This window comes from Homo sapiens, chromosome 18, assembly GCF_000001405.40.
Source record: "Homo sapiens chromosome 18, GRCh38.p14 Primary Assembly".
NCBI classification, from domain to species: Eukaryota; Metazoa; Chordata; class Mammalia; order Primates; family Hominidae; genus Homo; species Homo sapiens.
Window position 1 is genome coordinate 12,657,295 of NC_000018.10, and position 18,044 is coordinate 12,675,338.

The 18,044-nt window shown below is 44.7% G+C and overlaps 3 protein-coding genes across 15 annotated transcripts in view, besides 6 other annotated features; 1 reads left to right on the forward strand and 2 right to left on the reverse strand.

Moving 5' to 3' along the window:
• Window positions 1-4,797, reverse strand: part of SPIRE1 (spire type actin nucleation factor 1) — a 215,580-nt gene extending 210,783 nt beyond the window's left edge. For 5 of the 6 annotated variants that reach the window (NM_020148.3, XM_005258122.5, NM_001128626.2 and 2 more), the window contains exon 1: window positions 236-813. In NM_020148.3, coding sequence (NP_064533.3) covers window positions 236-572 — 337 coding nt within the window. In that variant the 5' untranslated portion in view covers window positions 573-813. Of the gene's footprint in view, window positions 1-235; window positions 814-4,046 lie in introns of those variants that run through there. The other variant, NM_001394323.1, reaches the window with a different exon arrangement.
• Window positions 233-352: a silencer, noted in NCBI's record as "silent region_9315". NCBI's record gives its function as "represses an Ori minimal core promoter by ATAC-STARR-seq in GM12878 lymphoblastoid cells {active_cell/tissue: GM12878}" and the evidence as "EXISTENCE:reporter gene assay evidence [ECO:0000049][PMID:35858748]".
• Window positions 543-962: a silencer, noted in NCBI's record as "silent region_9316". NCBI's record gives its function as "represses an Ori minimal core promoter by ATAC-STARR-seq in GM12878 lymphoblastoid cells {active_cell/tissue: GM12878}" and the evidence as "EXISTENCE:reporter gene assay evidence [ECO:0000049][PMID:35858748]".
• Window positions 543-1,000: a biological region, named in NCBI's record as "ReSE screen-validated silencer GRCh37_chr18:12658125-12658293".
• Window positions 832-1,000: a silencer, noted in NCBI's record as "fragment chr18:12658125-12658293 (GRCh37/hg19 assembly coordinates)". NCBI's record gives its function as "represses an EF-1alpha promoter that drives an FKBP-Casp9 reporter gene in an ReSE screen in phorbol 12-myristate 13-acetate-treated (for megakaryocytic differentiation) K562 erythroleukemia cells {active_cell/tissue: K562(+PMA)}" and the evidence as "EXISTENCE:reporter gene assay evidence [ECO:0000049][PMID:32094911]".
• Window positions 1,003-1,072: a silencer, noted in NCBI's record as "silent region_9317". NCBI's record gives its function as "represses an Ori minimal core promoter by ATAC-STARR-seq in GM12878 lymphoblastoid cells {active_cell/tissue: GM12878}" and the evidence as "EXISTENCE:reporter gene assay evidence [ECO:0000049][PMID:35858748]".
• Window positions 1,123-1,272: a silencer, noted in NCBI's record as "silent region_9318". NCBI's record gives its function as "represses an Ori minimal core promoter by ATAC-STARR-seq in GM12878 lymphoblastoid cells {active_cell/tissue: GM12878}" and the evidence as "EXISTENCE:reporter gene assay evidence [ECO:0000049][PMID:35858748]".
• PSMG2 (proteasome assembly chaperone 2) overlaps window positions 1,444-18,044 on the forward strand; it is a 67,003-nt gene continuing 50,402 nt past the window's right edge. The window contains exon 1 of the mRNA NM_147163.2: window positions 1,444-1,479. The gene's annotated coding sequence lies outside the window, so the exon portion shown is untranslated. The remainder of the gene's footprint in view (window positions 1,480-18,044) is intronic.
• CEP76 (centrosomal protein 76) overlaps window positions 4,662-18,044 on the reverse strand; it is a 40,822-nt gene continuing 27,439 nt past the window's right edge. For 4 of the 8 annotated variants that reach the window (NM_001271989.2, XM_017025983.3, NM_024899.4 and 1 more), the window contains 2 exons: window positions 17,242-17,459; window positions 15,331-16,209 (listed from right to left, as the gene is read on the reverse strand). In NM_001271989.2, the coding sequence (NP_001258918.1) occupies window positions 16,071-16,209; window positions 17,242-17,459 (357 nt within the window). In that variant the 3' untranslated portion in view covers window positions 15,331-16,070. Of the gene's footprint in view, window positions 4,876-12,335; window positions 12,695-15,330; window positions 16,210-17,241; window positions 17,460-18,044 lie in introns of those variants that run through there. The other 4 variants (XM_047437808.1, XM_005258149.6, NR_073537.1 and 1 more) reach the window with 3 other exon arrangements.

The window sequence follows — 18,044 nt, forward strand, 5'->3', positions numbered from 1 at the left end:
CCGCACAGCGGATTTGCGCCGTCGCCCGCCACGAGGCTCTGACCTCCGAGGGGCCCCGGCCAGCCACGGCCTGACGCCGTCCTCCCCTGCGGGTCCCCGCCGGATCCTCCCGGGGGTCTCCCGTGGCAAAATGGGGGGGGACGGCGGGGGCGGAAGGGCCGGGGACGCTGAGGGTAAGGCGGCCCAGCCGCGGGTGTTCCAAGAACTACGAGGGAAAGGGGCCCGGCGGCCTCACCCGCAACTGGGGGCGGCTCTCCCGCGTCGTCGGCCGCGGGCGCCAGGGTGACGGCGCCGTCCCTCCAGACGCGGATCTGCGCGGCCGAGCGCACACGGTGGCGGGGCTGGCGGCGGCGGGCGGCGGCGCGCAGGGAACCGCAGCACTGGTAGCACACGGCCCACGCCTGCTCCTCGTTGATGGGCTGGTTGTACAGCCGCAGGATCTCCTCCAGGCTCAGCGCGTCCCGGGAGCCCCCGGCCGCGCCGCCGGCTGCCCCGGGCTCCCGCGGCCCCTCGCCGCCCACTGCCTCAGTCCGCGGCTCCCCGCCGCCCGCCGGGCCAGCCGCCTGAGCCATCCCGCGGGTGGGCGCTGCGCTCGGCAGTCGCGCCGTGTGCCGGCGTCTCCTCAGCTCCGGAGCATCGTCGTCGCGCGCCGCCGCCTCACCATCCCCGGAACCGCCGCCGCCCAACGCGGCCGCGCGCGCCGCCGCCGGGACCAGGCGAGTGCCCGGGAGGCGTGGGCAAGAGGAGGGCGGCGAGGACACGGCTGCAGTCCCGGTCAGACAGCCGCCGGCCGGTAGCGACGCGATGGCGTCCGGCGCCCCGCCCCGCCCCGCCCCGCCTCGCGCCGTCCAGCGCCGCCCAGCGCCCGCCCCTTAGGGGGCCGCACGGGCCGGGGGATGCACGCTCTGGAGGTGAGGACCAGGCAGGAGGGCCTCGCCTCGAGGCGAGATGGCCGCACGGTCTCTAGCCCGCAGGGCTCTCAGAGTCGCAGGCGGTGACGCCCGGTCGGGGGGCCCGGTCGCAAGGGACACACAGCTGGGGGCGCAATGGTGAGGGCGGCGACGCACGGTCCGGAGGGGATGCGCGGCCGGGTAGGGCGTGCAGGGTTGTGGGGCGTGGGGGACACGCGGGGCCGGGCGCGCGGTCGGGGGGCGCAGGGGCAAGAGGGTGTCGCATTTATCAGGGAAGTCCCCGGCCGACTCTGGCGGGGAACTGGGCGCGCCAACCCGGGTCACCGCCCTGCACAGCGGGAGAAGTCACCCGCATTGACGTTCCCTAGGCGCTGGATCGCCGAAGGTCTGGTTGAAAACTTGAACCCGCCTGGAGCGGATGCCTAAGAAAATGCAGGCCCGCTGAAGCCTCCCCGCCGGGCCCTGGGCCCTGAAAGCCTCCGGCAGTTTCCCGTGACCCCGCGGCCGCTCTGCGCGTTTTCCGATTTCTTGCTGGTTGAATACCTCCCTCTCCACTCCCATCTTCAGGGTAAGCACCGTAAAGACGGGGATCTTTACGGGTTTTCCTCACTGACTTCTCCCAAAAGCTAAACCAGCGCCTGGAATATAAACATGTACATAATTTGCAGGTGTTAGTTTTAGCGTCCTTCCGGATTCATTTGTAACATTGGTCCCTTCCCTCACTAAGGTAATGTCTCAAGTACCACACTCATCAGAGCATGTGGAATGAATATCACAGTGGTAAAATTGAACTGAGGGCAATTAGCCGTAGAAAGAAAGAATTCCGCCCCCCCAACCTATTAAATATGCAATAAAACAGATAATTCTTAATCACCCATTGGTAGATTAATTTAATCGATAAAATTCCACTGAGGCTAGTCCTGTGTGAAAGCCCTACAGAGTGTTGAAAGCATCAACCAAATAGGCAATGTATATTAAGTTCCAGTAAACCTTTTACGGCAGTTTTATGTAAAATGTTAGAAATCACGCTCTCAACAATTGCATCTTGCGGTAGAAACTACAACAGTCTATTTAAATAACAACAGTCTATTAAAATGAGATACCATCTTACATACAGCTGGGAATGGGGAGGAGGGAGAAAAGCAACAGGACGAAAAGGAAAATTAAGAAATTGAAAGAGGGCCGTGCGCAGTGGCTTAGGCCTGTAATCCCAGCACTTTGGGAGGCTGAGGCGGGCAGATCACTGAGGTCAGGAGTTCGAGACCAGCCTGGCCAACATGGGGAAACCCTGTCTCTACTAAAAATACAAAGAAAATTAGCCGAGTGTGGTGACGCACGCTTGTAATCCCAGCTACCCGGGAGGCTGAGGCAGGAGAATCGCTTGAACCTGGGAGGTGGAAGTTGCAATGAGCCAAGATCACACCACTGCACTCCAGCCTGGGGGACAGAGCGAGAGTCTGTCTCAAAAAAATAAATAATAAATTGAAAGAGGAGAAGAAAGCTCCCCAGGCAACTTATTATAATTTCAGTACGAGAGAGACAAAACAACCCCTTAAAGTAGCATCACTTAATTATAGGTTCATAATCTCATTTGTAGCAATGCAGTATCTATGTGTGCCAAAGCCCAGAGAGGCAAACATGTAATTCCTTATGTGTGACACTATATACATATAAATATATCTCTGTCCTCTTGATTAAAAACAGACAAACATTCCCAAATTTTGCTATTTCAAAAGTTTATCCTGTGTGGATTTTGCAAATACAGACTGGTTTAAAATATTTTGAACAATCCAGGAAAAAAAATGAAGGTCTACTTTTATGGACAACACTACCACCTCCTGGCCTTATGGGATACTGCTGCCCATTGCACTTGGACAACTACAGCCAAACACATTTTTATCTTTGCCTTACCCACCAGTAAACAAGATAAATGGGTTAATAAACTGAGGAATCTATGAGCCATTAACCTGCTAACCCTGGCATAGAGCAGTAAATAAATCTTGAAGACAACAATACAGGGAAGGAGGAAGTGAGTAAAGGAAATCCAAACTTTATCTTTTAAAAGATGCATTCTTCTTTTTTTAGTCATCCCTCTAATCAATGGAAAAAGATGCATTTTTTTTTTTTTTTTAATTGAGACAGAGTCTCACCCTGTCTCCCAGGCTAGGGTCAGTGCCGCGATTTCAGCTCACTGCAACTTCCGCCTCCTGGGTTGAGATGATTCTCGTGCCTCGGCCTCCCGAGTAGCTGGGATTACAGGCACACGCTACCATGCCTGGCTAATTTTTGTATTTTTAGTAAAGACAGGGTTTTACCATGTTGGCCAGGCTGGTCTCAAACTCCTGACTTCAGTGGTCCACCCGCCTCAGCCTCCAAAAGCGCTGGGATTACAGGTGTGAGCCACTGTGCCCGGCCAAAAGATACATTCTTAAAAACAAATTTGCAACACTAGGATTTTCCTTGAGTGATGATTTTTTTTAACATATACACATTTTGAGAGGGAGACATTACTGCACTGTATCACAAGACAGTTATATCCAACAGAAGGGCTTTTTTTTTTATTGCCAAGTAACAATTCATGGTATGATATACTTAAATATTTTGCCTGTGTGAGCATATATGTAATTAAGTTGAGGAAAGATGACAAGTAGAATATTGTGTGATGTTTCTTCTCTACACAAAATAAAGGAAAATCTTTAAAATCCTAGCTGTCTTCTAAGTGTAGTTATACAACATGAACACTTGACTCTTTTTTGTATAAAGACTATAACTTACTAACTTCTAAATGATTTTCAGTACTCCTTAAAGTTTTGATAAGCTGGCCAGGCATGGTGGCTCACGCCTGTAATCCCAGCAGTTTGGGAGGCCGAGGCGGGCAGATCACCTGAGGTCAGGAGTTCGAGACCAGCCTGGCCAACATGGCAAAAACCTGTCTCTACTAAAAATACAAAAATTAGCTGGGCATGGTGGCAGGCACCTGTAATCCCAGCTACTCGGGAGGCTGAGGCAGGGGAATCACTTGAACCCGGGAGGCGGAGCGTGCAGTGAGCCGAGATCACGCCATTGCACCCCAGCCTGGGTGACAAGAGTGAGCCTTCATCTCAAAAAAGAAGAAAAAAAATTGATAAGCCTTACCGTCATCCATCATCACAACACTCTGAAAGTGACTGCTGACCACTCAAAGGCTACCAGCCATTGATATCTTCTCAGTGGAGTTCTAGCACCCCTGTGGAATAACAGCACTGTCCCATTTTCTCATTTTCAATTCAAATTCAAAGATTTGAGGCCAGGCGCAGTGGCTCATACCTGTAATCCCAACACTTTGGGAAGCCAACGCAGGCAGATCGCTTGAGGCCATGAGTTCGAGACCAGTCTGGCCAACATGGTGAAACCTCGTCTCTACTAAAAATGCAAAGAAAATTAGCCAGGCATGGTGATGCATGCCTGTAATCCCAGCTACTCGGGAGGCTGAGGCAGGAGAATCGCTTGAACCCAGGAAGTGGAGATTGCTGTGAGCCAAGATTGTACCACTGCACTCCAGCCAGGGTGACAGAGTGAGAGTCCGTCTCAAAGAGAAAAAAAAAAAATCCAAAGATTCAAATGCCTTTATGTTCAGGATATTTTGTTCCCAATTTCAGTCATTGATTGTATTTTTACTCTATGACTTCATATTTAAAATGTCTGAACAACTCAAATCAACATTTAAATGTCTTTTTCAAAGTGCTGTGAAGTCCATGTTACTCTGAATATGATTTTGTTTTGTTGATTTTGTTACTTTATTAAAAATTGAATCCTTGACTTTTTTTATATTTACTTCTTATTCTTGTAGAATAAGTGTACTTCATGCTTCATACTCTGGAGGTACTGGCTGTGCTGCTCTGAGTCTTTCAGGGAGCACCATCACTGTGCAGCCCAAGCTTTTCCCAGACACTTCTGGACAAGTGCTCCTAAGAGGCACATTCACCTAGAAAAGTGCACCAGAAAGGAAAAAAAAAAAACAGCATATTTTTTAATGTTGTAACCTAAATTTTCATTGCCCACAATTGTAATACCTTATACATCTGTAGTGCTATTTATACTTTCAAAATGTGCTCTTCAGTTATACAACTTGAAGGGTCAGATATTATTATTCCTATCTTACAGAAGAGAAAATACAGTCATAGGACAAAATACAGAAGCAGTAAATGAAACAGTTGGTACTGGAATTCAGGCCTCCTGACCAGCTCAGCTCTTTCTCCTACATTACAATGTCCATGTACACTCACAGAGAGCGAGAATAAAGTCCTGAGCCCGGCCATGGGGGCTCACACCTGTAATCCCAGCACTTTGGGAGGCTGAGGCAGGAGCATCATTTGAGCTCACAAGTTTGAGACCAGCCTGGGCAATGTGATGAAAATCCATCTCTACAAAAAATACAAAAAAGTAACCAGGCATGGTGGTGCACACCTATAATCCCAGCTGCTCGGAAGGCTGAGGCACAAGAATCGCTTGAGCCCAGGAGGCAGAGGCTGCAGTGAGCCGAGATCATGCCACTGCCCTCCAGCCTGGGCGATAGAGTGAGACCTTGTCTCAAAAAAAAGAAAAACATTTTTTTTGACGAAAAGTAGAGGATTGAGATAAAATGTGTGAACAATAGTGTATCAATGGGTTCATGAGAGACCCTGGAAAATACTAGGCTAAGCAATAATCACGTTTCACCTACTTAATGTGATTCTCCTTTAAGATAATTATTTTTAAACCATTATAAATGTATGACGTTCTGATCTGAATATAAGTGTAATTATTAGCTTCAACTAGTTAAGAAGATTTGACTTGGAAAAGACCTCATAAATATGAATTTTAGGCCAAGCCACTATTTTATGCTTATGGAAATTGGAGCCTGCAAATGTTAAGTGACTTACCCCAAATTACTGCTAGTTGGCCTGAGATAATTCAAATACATTTCCTATAACACAAACTTTCCAAATACTCTTTTATAGTCATATTACATAATTCTGATCAGATTTCAAACATTAGGACAAGCAGTAGCTTACTCCTTAATTCCAGTGGGAAATTAAAAACAAAATAAGGCCCAAAAATATATATTCTTTGAGACAGGCTCTTGAGGCCAAGGCTTGAGTCCAGTGGCATGATCTCAGCTCACTGCAATCTCCACCTCCTAGGTTCAAGCAGTCCTCCCACCTCAGCCTTCCAAGTAGCTGGGACCACAGGTGCACACGACCACACCGGCTAACTGTTGTACTTTTTTGCAGAGACGGGGTTTCACCATGTTGCCCAGGCTGGTCTGGAACTTCTGAGCTCAAGTAATCCACCCACCTCTTCCTCCCAAGGTGCTGGGATTACAGATGTGAGCCACCACAACCAGGCACAAAAATATCTTTATTTTGTAGCAAAGTTTGATGTTTGACAATAATTGCTTAAAAATGGAGAATTATCAATAAAATTTTAACCAGAGTTTTGTGTTGTGTAAATTAAAAATTTTCAGACTGAATCACACTTTGCTGATGAGACAATGCAAAAATGTTTTTTCAAGCCTCTATTATTTAATTTTTCCTGATTGATTGTGTGTATGTGTAGAGAGACAGAATCTCATTCTGCTGCCCAGGCTGGATGGAGTGCAGTGGTGCGATCATAGCTCACTGCAACCTCTAACTCCTGTGCTCAAAAGAATCCTCCCAGCTGGGCACAGTGGTTTATGCCTGTAATCCCAGCACTTTGGGAGGTTGAGGCAGGCAGATCACCTGAGGTTGGGAGTTCAAGACCAGCCTGACCAACATGGAGAAACCCTGTCTCTACTAAAAATACAAAATTAGCTAGGCATGGTGGTGCATGCCTGTAATCCCAGCTACTTAGGAGGCTGAGGCAAGAGAATCGCTTGAACCCGGAGGGGCGGTGGTTGCGGTGAGCCGAGATCGTGCCATTGCACTCCAGTCTGGGCAACCAGAGCGAAACTCCATCTCAAAAGAAAAAAGAGTCCTCCCACTTCAGCCTTCTGAATGGGCCGGGACTACAGGGATGTGCCACCACACCCCGCTAATTTTTTAAAACTTTTTGTAGGCCGGGCATGGTGGCTCACACCTATAATCCCAGCACTTTGAGAGGCCGAGAAGGGTGGATCACGAGGCCAGGAGATCGAGACCATCCTGGCTAACACGGTGAAACCTCTACTAAAAATACAAAATTAAAATACAAAAATTAGCCGGGCATGGTGGCATGTGCCTGTAGTCCCAGCTACTCAGGAGGCTGAGGCAGGAGAATTGCTTGAACCCGGGAGGCAGAGATCGCAGTGAGCCAAGATCACGCCATTGCACTCCAGCCTGGGTGACAGAGCGAGACTCCGTCTCAAAAAAAACAAAATTTGTAGAGAAGGGGTCTCGGTCTGCTGCCCAAGCTGGTCTCAAATTCCTGGGCTCAAGGGATCCTCCCGCCTTGGCCTCCCAAAGTGCTGGGATTACAGGTTTGAACCACTGTGCCTGGCTAATTTGTCCTGATCTTTTTTTTTTTTTTTTTTAAGACGGGGTCTTGCTCTGTCGCTCAGGCTGGAGTGCAGTGGTACAATCTCAGCTCAGTGCAACCTCTGCCTCCCAGGTTCAAGTGATTCTCCTGCCTCAGCCTCCTGAGTAGCTAGGATTACAGGCGCCCGTCACCATGCCCAGCTAACTTTTGTATTTTTAGTAGAGACAGGGTTTCACCACTTTGGCCAGGCTGGTCTCAAACTCCTGATCTCAAGTGATCCACCCACCTCAGCCTCCCAGAGTGCTGGCGTGAGCCACTGCACCCGATCTATCCTAATCTTTATTGAGAAAAGATGGCCCTTTCCTGTTGCTCAAAAAAGGTTTTTTTTTTCCCTGATGTACAGGTAGAGGTCTAGAGCTGCTCTTGGCTCTTTATGCATTCTACTTTGACCCTATGAGAACCTCATTTCTCTTCCAAGGTGAGCATGTAATCAACATAAAATATGACTTCCCTTTAATTCAACTAGATGTTTAATGAATTCAGCACATTCCAGATGTGCTAAAAAGCTGGTCTTTTAAGTTTTGCCTTAGTAATTTTTGTAGAAGGGTATAGGTAAAGGTATAGGCGTGGTGGTATGTGCCTGTGGTCCCAGCTACTCGGGAGGCTGAGGTGGGAGGATTGCTTGAGCCCAGGAGGTAGAGGTTGCAGTGAATCGAGTTCATGCCTTATATGTATACTTGTGCTTTTCCTTAGGATTTCCCCTGAACAGTTCTGTTAACCTGAATTCCTGTCCTCCTCATCTTTTGTATAAAGAGCCACTGATGGAACACTGTGTCTTTCCCTTATGTGCCATACCTGTTCATGCCTCTCAGGAACCAGAAGTGTAACCCTCGCTCCTACTCTCGACCTAGCAATCTAATCCTTCTTAAGAGATGTTGGAAGAAAAATTATTGACACTGAAATTCATAAAAACATGACATCCCAGAGCTTAACCTAAATTTATAAGAGAATGTTTTAAACAAACTTCTTAAAAATTTTTTTTTAATTTTTTTTGAGACAGAGTCTTGCTCTTGTCACCCAGACTGGAGTGCATTGGCACAATCTCTGCTTACTGCAACCTCTGCCTCCCAGGCTCATGCAGTTCTCCTGCCTCAGCCTCCCGAGTAGCTGCGATTACAGATCACGCCACCACACCCAGCTAATTTTTGTATTTTTAGTAGAGACAGGGTTTCACCATGTTGGCCAGGCTGGTCTTGAACGCCTGACCCCGTGATCTGCCCACCCTGGCCTCCCAAAGTGCTGGGATAACAGTCGTGAGCCACCGTGCCCGGCCCAACACAATTATTTTAATTGTATCAAAATTGTTCCTTTGTGGCTGGGCACAGTGGCTCATACTTGTGATCCCAGCATCTTGGGAGACTGAGACAGGAGGAATGCTTGATGCCAGAAGTTCAAGACCAGACTGAGCAACATAGCAAGAACTCATCTCTACAAAAAAAAAAAAAAAAAGTTTAAAATTAGCCAGTCATGGTGGCATACACCTATATTCCCAGCTACTTAAGAGGCTGAGGCAAGAGGATCACTTGAGCCCAGGAGTTCTAGGTTAAAAGTGAGCTGTGATCACACCCCTGCACTCTAGCCTGGGTGACAGAGTGAGACCCCCAGCTCAAAATAAAAAATTATTATCTTGCAAAGTTTGCTAAGTAATGGTCATTCTTCAACTGTGATATTGTCTTAATGCCATGGGCATTTTCAGGGTTAACAAAATTTTATGGTTTTTTTTTTTTTTTTTTTGTGAGGTAGGGTCTCCCTCTGTTGCCCAGGCTGGAGTGCATTGTGCAATCATGGCTCACTGAAGCCTCCTAACGTCCCGCCTCAATTGATCCTCCCACCTCAGCTTCTCAAATAGATGGGACTACAGGTGCACGCACCATGCCTGGTTGTTGTTGTTTTTGTTTTTGTATTTTTGGTAGAGACAGGGTTTCGCCACATTGCCCAAACTGGTCTCGAACTCCTCACTCAATTGATCTACCTGCCTTGGCCTCCTAAAGGGGTGGAATTACAGGCTTCAGTCACCACACCCGGCCAAAAAAAAAAAAACTTTTGAATTGATTTATTCTACCACATTTAGAACAACCTCTACTTTATCACAAACAAGCTATTTGATTCTTCCAATCAGGTTTATCAAAACTGAAGATTCCAATTTAACATCTTTAATCCAAACATCAGTTTTATTAATATATTGACAAAAAAAGTAAATCTTATTCATAATGAGTTTAAAATTAAAAATTCCATATATTACTGAAATTAAGCTAATATAAATCTCAATCTGATTCTGATAAATTAAGATGTATACGGAAAACAACAACAACCAAACAAAAATAAGATGTATATGGAAACCCTAAAGCAAACACTAAAAAACCCCTCAAAAATTAGTGATTAAAAAAAGAAAATATTGAAAATAGTGATAAAAATCATTAAATAAATTAAAATGTTAAATTAGAAAATATTATTTTGGGCTGGGCATGGTGGCTCACACCAGTAATCCCAACACTTTGGGAGGCTGAGTGAGGAGGATCGCTTGAGGCCATGAGTTTAAGACCTGTATTTGAGTGAGACCTTGTCTCTACAAAAAAATTTTAAAAGTTAGCTGAGTGTGGTGGTACATGCCTGTAGTCCCAGCTACTCTGGAGGCTGAGGCCAGAGGATCCGTTGAGCCCAGGTGTTCAAGGCTGCAGTGAGCTATGATCACACCACTGCACTCTATCCCCAAAGACAGAGTGAGACAGTCTCTTGAAATTAAGAAAATATAATATTCGGCCAGGCCGGGTGGCTCATGCCTGCAATCCCAGCACTTTGGGAGGCCAAGGCAGGTGGATCACAAGGTCAGGAATTCAAGACCAGCCTGGCCAACATGGTGAAACCCCCGTCTCTAGTAAAAATACAAAAATTAGCCGGGCGTGGTGGCACGTGCCTGTACTCCCAGCTACTCGGGAGGCTGAGGCAGGAGAATTGCTTGAATCTGGGAGGCAGAGGTTGCAGTGAACCAAGATCGTGCCACTGCACTCCAGCCTGGGTGACAGAGCAAGACTCTTTCTCAAAAAAAAAAAAAAAAAGAAAAGAAAAGAAAATATAATATTCACTTAACACAGAAGAAAGCAATAGACCTGCAGGTGCTTTCTGATCCTTTTTTTTTTTTTTTTTTTTTAAATAGAACAAGAAAGCAGTAAGGGAGAAACAAAGGGGGAAAAAAACACGAGGGAAAAGTAAAATGGCAAACACAAATCCAGCCACATCAATAATAACATTAAATGTGAATGGGGCTGGGTGCAGTGGCTCACGCCTGTAATCCCAGCACTTTGGGAGGCCGAGGCAGGCGTATCACCTGAGGTCAGGAGTTTGAAACCAGCCTGGCCAACATGGTGAGACCCTGTCCCTACGAAAAATACAAAAATTAGCCAGACATGTTGGTGCAGGCCTGTAATCCCAGCTATTTGGGAGGCTGAGGCAGGAAAATCACCTGAACCTGGGAGGTGGAGGTTGCATTGATCTGAGATTGCACCACTGCACTCCAGACTGGGCAACAGACTGAGACTCCAACCCTCCCCCAACTCCTCCCACCGCCACTGGCCAAAAAAAGTGGATGGAGGCTGGGTGCCGTCGCAGATGCCAATAATCTCAGCACTTTGGGAACCCGAGGTGGGCAGATCACTTGAGATCAGGAGTTTGAGACCAGCCTGCCAACAAGACAAAACCCTGTCCATACCCAAAAATACAAAAATTACAAAAATTAGCTGGGCATAGTGGTGTGCACCTGTGGTCCCAGCTATGGAGGCTAAGGCAGGAGAATCACTTGAACCCAGGAGGTAGAGGTTGCAGGGAGCCAAGATTGCACCACTGCACTCCAGCCTGGGAGACAGAGTAAGATTCCATCTCAAAAAAAAAAAAAAAAAAAAAAAAAAAAAAAATAGTGAATGTACTTAATCCAATCAAAAAGCTGAAACTGTTCAGACTGGATTAAAAAAAGAAGATTCAACTATGTGTTGTCTACCTAGCAAGATACACTTTATTCCTTTTTTTTTTTTTTTTTTTTTTGAGACAGAGTCTTGCTCTGTCACCCAGGCTGGAGTGTAGTGGAGAGCAATCTCGGCTCACTGCAGCCTTCGCCTCCCGGGTTTAAGCGATTCCCCTGCCTCAGCCTCCCAAGTAGCTGGGATTACAGGTGTGGGCTACTATGCCTGGCTAATTTTTGTATTTTTAGTAGAGACGGGGTTTCATCAAGTTGGCCAGGCTGGTCTTGAACTCCTGATCCAGGTGATCTGCCTGCCTCAGCCTCCCAATTACAGGCTTGAGCTACCGCACCCCCCGCACTTTTTTTTTTTTTTTTTTTTTTTTTTGAGACAGAGTTTCACTGTTTCCCAAGCTGGAGTGCAGTGGTGTGATCTCAGCTCACGGCAACCTCTTTTTTTTTGAGACAGAGTTTCACTGTTTCCCAAGCTGGAGTGCAGTGGTGTGATCTCAGCTCACGGCAACCTCCACCTCCCAGATTGAAGCGATTCTCCTGTCTCAGCCTCCCGAGTAGCTGGGAATACAGGCATGCGCCACCATGCCCAGCTAATTTTGTATTTTTACTAGAGACAGGGTTTCTCTATGTTGGTCAGGCTGGTCTCGAACTCCTGACCTCAGGTGATCCGCCCGCCTTGGCCTTCCAAAGTGCTGGGATTACAGGCATGAGCCACCGCGCCTGGCCCCAATTTTTTTTATTTTTCAGAGATGCCATCTCACTATGTTGACCAGGCTGTGCTCAAATTTTTATTCAATAGGTTCATGCTTGACTAATGAAAAATGAAGTTTCTGGTTTCTGATATTTTTCTATTAACTAAATAGACATATATAAAACTACATATATATAATATAGAGGGGACTGTTGGCATACATATTGTCAAGAACACCACCTTGGAGACATTATGTTTTTTAAACTTTACATTTTTAATTGAAAAACAACTTTTATGACAGCTAAATATACAAGGTAAATTTAATTCTTAAAAAGAAAAATTGGCGAGGCATGGTGGCTCACGCCTGTAATCCCAGCACTTTGGGAGGCCAAGGCGGGTGGATCACCTGAGGTCGGGAGTTTGAGACCCTCCTGACCAACATGCAGAAACCCTGTCTCTACTTAAAAAAAATTAGCCAAGTGTGGTGGCGCATGCCTGTAATCCCAGCTACTTGGGAGGCTGAGTCAGGAGAATCACTTGAACCCAGGAGGCGGAGGTTGCGGTGAGCCGAGATTGCACCATTGCACTCCAGCCTGGGCAACAAGAGCCAAACTGTCTCAAAAAAAAAAAGAAAAGAAAAAGAAAAAGAAAAATTATTAGTAAGAAGAATAGGCCAGGTGCGATGGTCCATGCCTGTAATCCCGGCACTTGGGGAGGCCAAGGCAGGTGGATTGCCTGAGCTCAGGAGTTCGCGACCAGCCTGGGCAACAAGGTGAAACCCCTCTCTAATAAAATACAAAAAAATTAGCTGGGCGTGGTAGCGTGTGCCTGTAGTCCCAGCTACTTGGGAGGCTGAGGCAGGAGAACTGCTTGAACCTGCGAGGTGGAGGTTGCAGTGAGCCAAGATTGTGCCACTGCACTCCAGCCTGGGCAACAGAGTGAGACTCTGTCTCAAAAAAAAAAGAAAAAAGAATAGCAGACTTCTAGTGGTAAATGCACTGAAATTACCTTATTAAGTCTTCAGAGAAAAATATTAATGCCAGACTCTATTGGTGCATAAAAAGCATATTTATTACAGAGTTTACACCAAAAGCACATTTGAAATACACGTTACTCTGGTACAATAAGGTGGGAAGCTCAGCCTCAATGTTAATACAGCCTTGATCTTAATATAGTCTGTCTCTTAGTACATACCTCATAGTTTGTCTCAAAAGTTGAAAATTACAAGCAATTTTCTGTTGATAGCTTTTTTTGTAATTTTGGCAAAAGAGTGGTTTTTTTTAACTTTTTTAAAAAGTTTTTTTTTTCTTTGAGATAGGGTCTTGCTCTGTCACCCAGGCTGGAGTGCAGTGGCACAATCTTTTGGGCTCAAGTGATTCACCCACCTCAGCCTCCCAAGCAGCTGGGACCACAGGTGTGCACGATCACGCCCTGCTAATTTTTTACATTTTTTGTAGAGAGGGGTTCTTGCTATGTTGCCCAGGCTGGTCTTAAACTCCTGAACCCAAGAGATTCTCCTGCCTCAGCCTCCCAGAGTACTGGAATTATAGGTGTGAACCACTATGCTTTAAAAAAAGCTTCAATTATTATTTTGCTAATTTTCTACAGTCATGTCAGTCTCACAAGAAACATCTGATTACCATTTTTGATGAAAATTGTAGAAGAGGGATCATAATATTTCAGACTTTTTAAACAAATTGAATATTTATTATACATAAAAATAAAACAAAGTAGATTTATTCTTTTAGAGAAATAGGGGGGGGTCTCTCTATGCTCCCAGGCTGGTCTTGAGCTACTTCTTGGGCCATCCTCTGGCCGCAGCCTCCAAAAGTGCTGGGATTATAGGTGTGAGCCATCACACCTGGCCCAAAAAGTAAATTTTAAGACACTTTTAGATTTTAATTTTCGAAAAACGAAATCATTTTATTTGTAGGGGTGAATTAAAGTGATTAAAAGAATTAATAACTTGGATAGCCAACTGGTATAGAGTTACTTTCTTAAGACCAATGGATAAAGCAACTAAATTAAGAACTACACATATCAGAGTGAACAAAGATTCTTTGAAAAAATAAAAAACTTAAAAAAAATGAAAAGAACTATGCACAGAAGTGCTAAATGGGCAATCAAACCCCTCATATCATGTATTATGCAGCTTCTTGCAAAAAGTTGAATTGCTACTCTTTTTAAAGTTTACTTTTGTTCACTTAACACTTTTTTTAATATATAAAATTTTAAAATAAGTTGAGGAATCAGGTTTCACACTTTCTTTTTTTTTTTTTTTTTTTTTTTTGAGACAGAGTCTTGCTCTGTCACCCAGGCTGGAATGCAGTGACGCGATCTTAGCTCACCACCTCTGTGGACTCAAGCGATCCTTCCGCCTCAGACTCCCGAGTAGCTTGGATTATGGGTGTGTGACACCATGCCTAGCTACTTAAAATTAACTTATAAAAAACATTTTTTTTGAGATGGAGTATTGCTCTGTTGCCCACGCTGGAGTACAGTGGCATGATCTTGGCTCATCACAACCTCCGCCTCCCAGGTTCAAGCGATTCTCCTGCCTCAGTCTCCTGAGTAGCTAGACTACAGGCACATGCCACCATGCCCAGCTAATTTTTGTATCTTTAGTAGAGACAGGGTTTCACTGTGTTGGCCAGGCTGGTCTTGAACCCCTGACCTCGTGATCCACCCACATCAGCCTCCCAAAGTGCTGGCATTACAGGTGTGAGCCACCATGCCTGGCCCTTTTTTTTTTTTCTGAGATGCAGTCTCGCTCTGCCTCCCATGCTGGAGTGCAGTGGCGCGATCTCACCTCACTGCAACCTCTGCCTCCCAGGTTCAAGCGATTCTCCTGCCTCAGCCTCCTGAGTAGCTGGGATTACAGGTGTGAGCCACCGCACCCGGCCTAATTTTCGTATTTTTAGTAGAGACAGGGTTTCACCATGTTGCCCAGGCTGGTCACGAACTCCTGACCTCAAGTGATCCACCCACCTCGGCCTCCCAAAGTGCTGGGATTACAGGCATAAACCACTACGCCGAGCCTTACAAAATTTTTAAAACGTGCTCAATTTTAAAACAAAAATCAGTATGGAATCACTCACATATGCTTGTTTTCAGTGGTCTCACACAATCAATCTCTTATTTAGATTAGTCACATATATGCTGATTTTTTTATCACAATGAAAGAAAAAAGGGTTTCAGAAGATAGAATCCATGAAGAGGCTAATAATGAATCCTCTGACCACAGAAAATCAGTGATCGACTGCAAGATCACAATTTATCAGTATCATAACAAAGAGGTATAATAAAGTTTTTCTAAAATACCCAATTCATTTTTACAACAAATCACAGTGATAAATATTTCTAAATGATTCATGTACTTTCATATGAGGTTATTAATATTTATGCTTTTCTGGTATTAGTTTTTTCCTACTCTTGCTTCAAGGTCCAACCATAAATTTCTGGACAGTCTCAAATATCCCAAGGACCACGAATAAACCACAAAAGTGGTAATTCATTAACATTTATTTTCACCAATGCAATAAATAAATCTGTCATGAGGTTAATTTCTCCTAATCTGTATAAAATAATTCCATTAACCTGTGAAAAGTAATGATCATACTGATTTGTCTAGGGCTCAAACCCTTAGACAAACATCTCTTTGATTACCTGTTTGTGTAAAGAAAACTGAATGCATTTTATATTAATATTTAAACTACTGATAACTGTAAACAAAGTAGCATTTATTAAAATAGAATATACACTTAATTTATACTAAATTCCAGGGAGATTTATACAAGTTTTTCAGCCTTAATTTTTAAAGGAATGCATGATTTTTTTTAAACATTACCAGTCAAGTATATACAAAATTGAAGTATGCCATTCAAGCCAGATTGTGATTTTAAAATAACAAACCTCTAAATAGCTAAGTAATGTACAATGTGTAAAATTCCAATTAAACACAGGTATAAATCTTATATAAATATTGGCCCTATAATACCGAGCGATATTTACAAGCAAACATGATCCAAACAGCACATGCAGATTCAGGGTAAGTAAATACTCGGACACGAACTGCCAGTCGCACTTGGTCTCCACGGCAACAGATTATTTCTTCACAGAAAGGAGATCTATTTAAGAAAAAAAAAATTATTCAATTAAGAAGTGACCATACACTTTAATTCCTTATTTGCAAGTAAATCAGTATTTAAAATAATTTTTTCAGGCTAGGCGTGGTGGCTCATGCCTGTAATCCCAGCACTTTGGGAGGCCGAGACAGGTGGATCACCTGAGGTCAGGAGTTCAAGACCAGCTTGGCCAACATAGTGAAACCCCGCCTCTACTAAAAATTACAAAAATTAGCCGCGTGTGGTGGCGGGCGTCTGTAATCCCAGCTACTTGGGAGGCTGAGGCAGGAGAATCGCTTGAATCCAGGAGGCAGAGGTTGCAGTGAGCCAAGAATGTGCCACTGCACTACAGCCTGGGCGACAGACTGAGACTCCATCTCAAAAATAAATAAATAAAATAATTTTTTCAAATTCTGTCTCTGCTATCAAAGACACTGTAATTTTGGTCAAGCTATTCAAATTATAGACTATTTCCTTATAGTCCAAACAAAATCAGAGATACCTGAGACTGCACCAAAATCACTGGGCAAATAATCCCAGACTATCTAGGGCTACATTTCAGACCAAATGAATCAAAATCTGTGGCAAGGAGGGTCAGTCATTGTAAAAGCTCCCATATGACTTGGATGTCATTTCTAAATAACTACCAGATTAGGCTGGGTGCAACGGCTCACACCTGTAATCCCAGCAATTTGGGAGGCTGAGGTGGGAAGACTGCTTGAGCCCAGGAGTTCAAGACCAGCCTGGGCAACATAGGAAGACCCCCATCTCTACAAAATAAAGATAAAAAAAATAGCCAGGTATGGTGGCACATGCCTGTGGTCCCAGTTGCCTGGGAGGGTGAGGTGGAAGGGTCACTTGGGCCCAGGAGGTCAAGGCTACAGTGAGCCATAACTGTGCCACTGTACTCCAGCATGGGCAGCAGAGCAAGACCTTGAGTTAAAAAAAAAAAAAAAAGGAAATTAAAAAAACCCCTGCCGGACTGATCTGTAAGACTCCTAAACTGAAAAAATGATTCCGTAAATTACACCTTACCGAAGACATGTGGCAAATGCACGTCTTGCATTTCTATACACAAAATGTATTGGGAACCCTTTAAATGTGTGACCATCAGGTACAGCCCTTCTTATGGCATCTTGAAATTCTTCATTGCCTGCTGATATACTTGTTGTACGCTCAAATTCATAAGAAGCCAAAGCTGGTGATAAAAGGTAGGAGAGCTGGTCTTCCCAAACAGTAGTGAGGCCAAGATCCTATGAGCAATCAAGAGAAAAAGAAAAAGTGAAATACATTAATATTTTTAAAACCAACTAAATAAAAATGTTGATTATTTTAATGTATACCAAGAAAAGATTTTTAAAAGCTATCATAATATTTTAATAATAATAATTATAGGGATACATAGAAATAAAAATCAGATAAAAGGAACTATAGGTGATCAGATTTTACTTTTTAGAGAAACAACCAAAAAACATTCAAAACAATGTTCACAAAGTCTCCAAATCCTGTACTTCTCTAATATCTACTACAAAATACTATATGAAATAGTCCTAATATGGAGGACAGGTATAATTCTTATATTTTGAGATATTTTACTTAACTTTAAAGAGTTTAGGCCGGGTGCGGTGGCTCACGCCTGTAATCCCAGCAGTTTGGGAGGCTGAGGTGGGCGGATCATGAGGTCAGGAGATTGAGACCATCCTGGCTAACAAGGTGAAACCCTGTATCTACTAAAAATACAAAAAATGAGTTGGGCGTGGTGGCGGGTGCATGTAGTCCCAGCTACTTGGGAGGCTGAGGCAGGAGAATGGTATGAATCCGGGAGGCAGAGCTTGCAG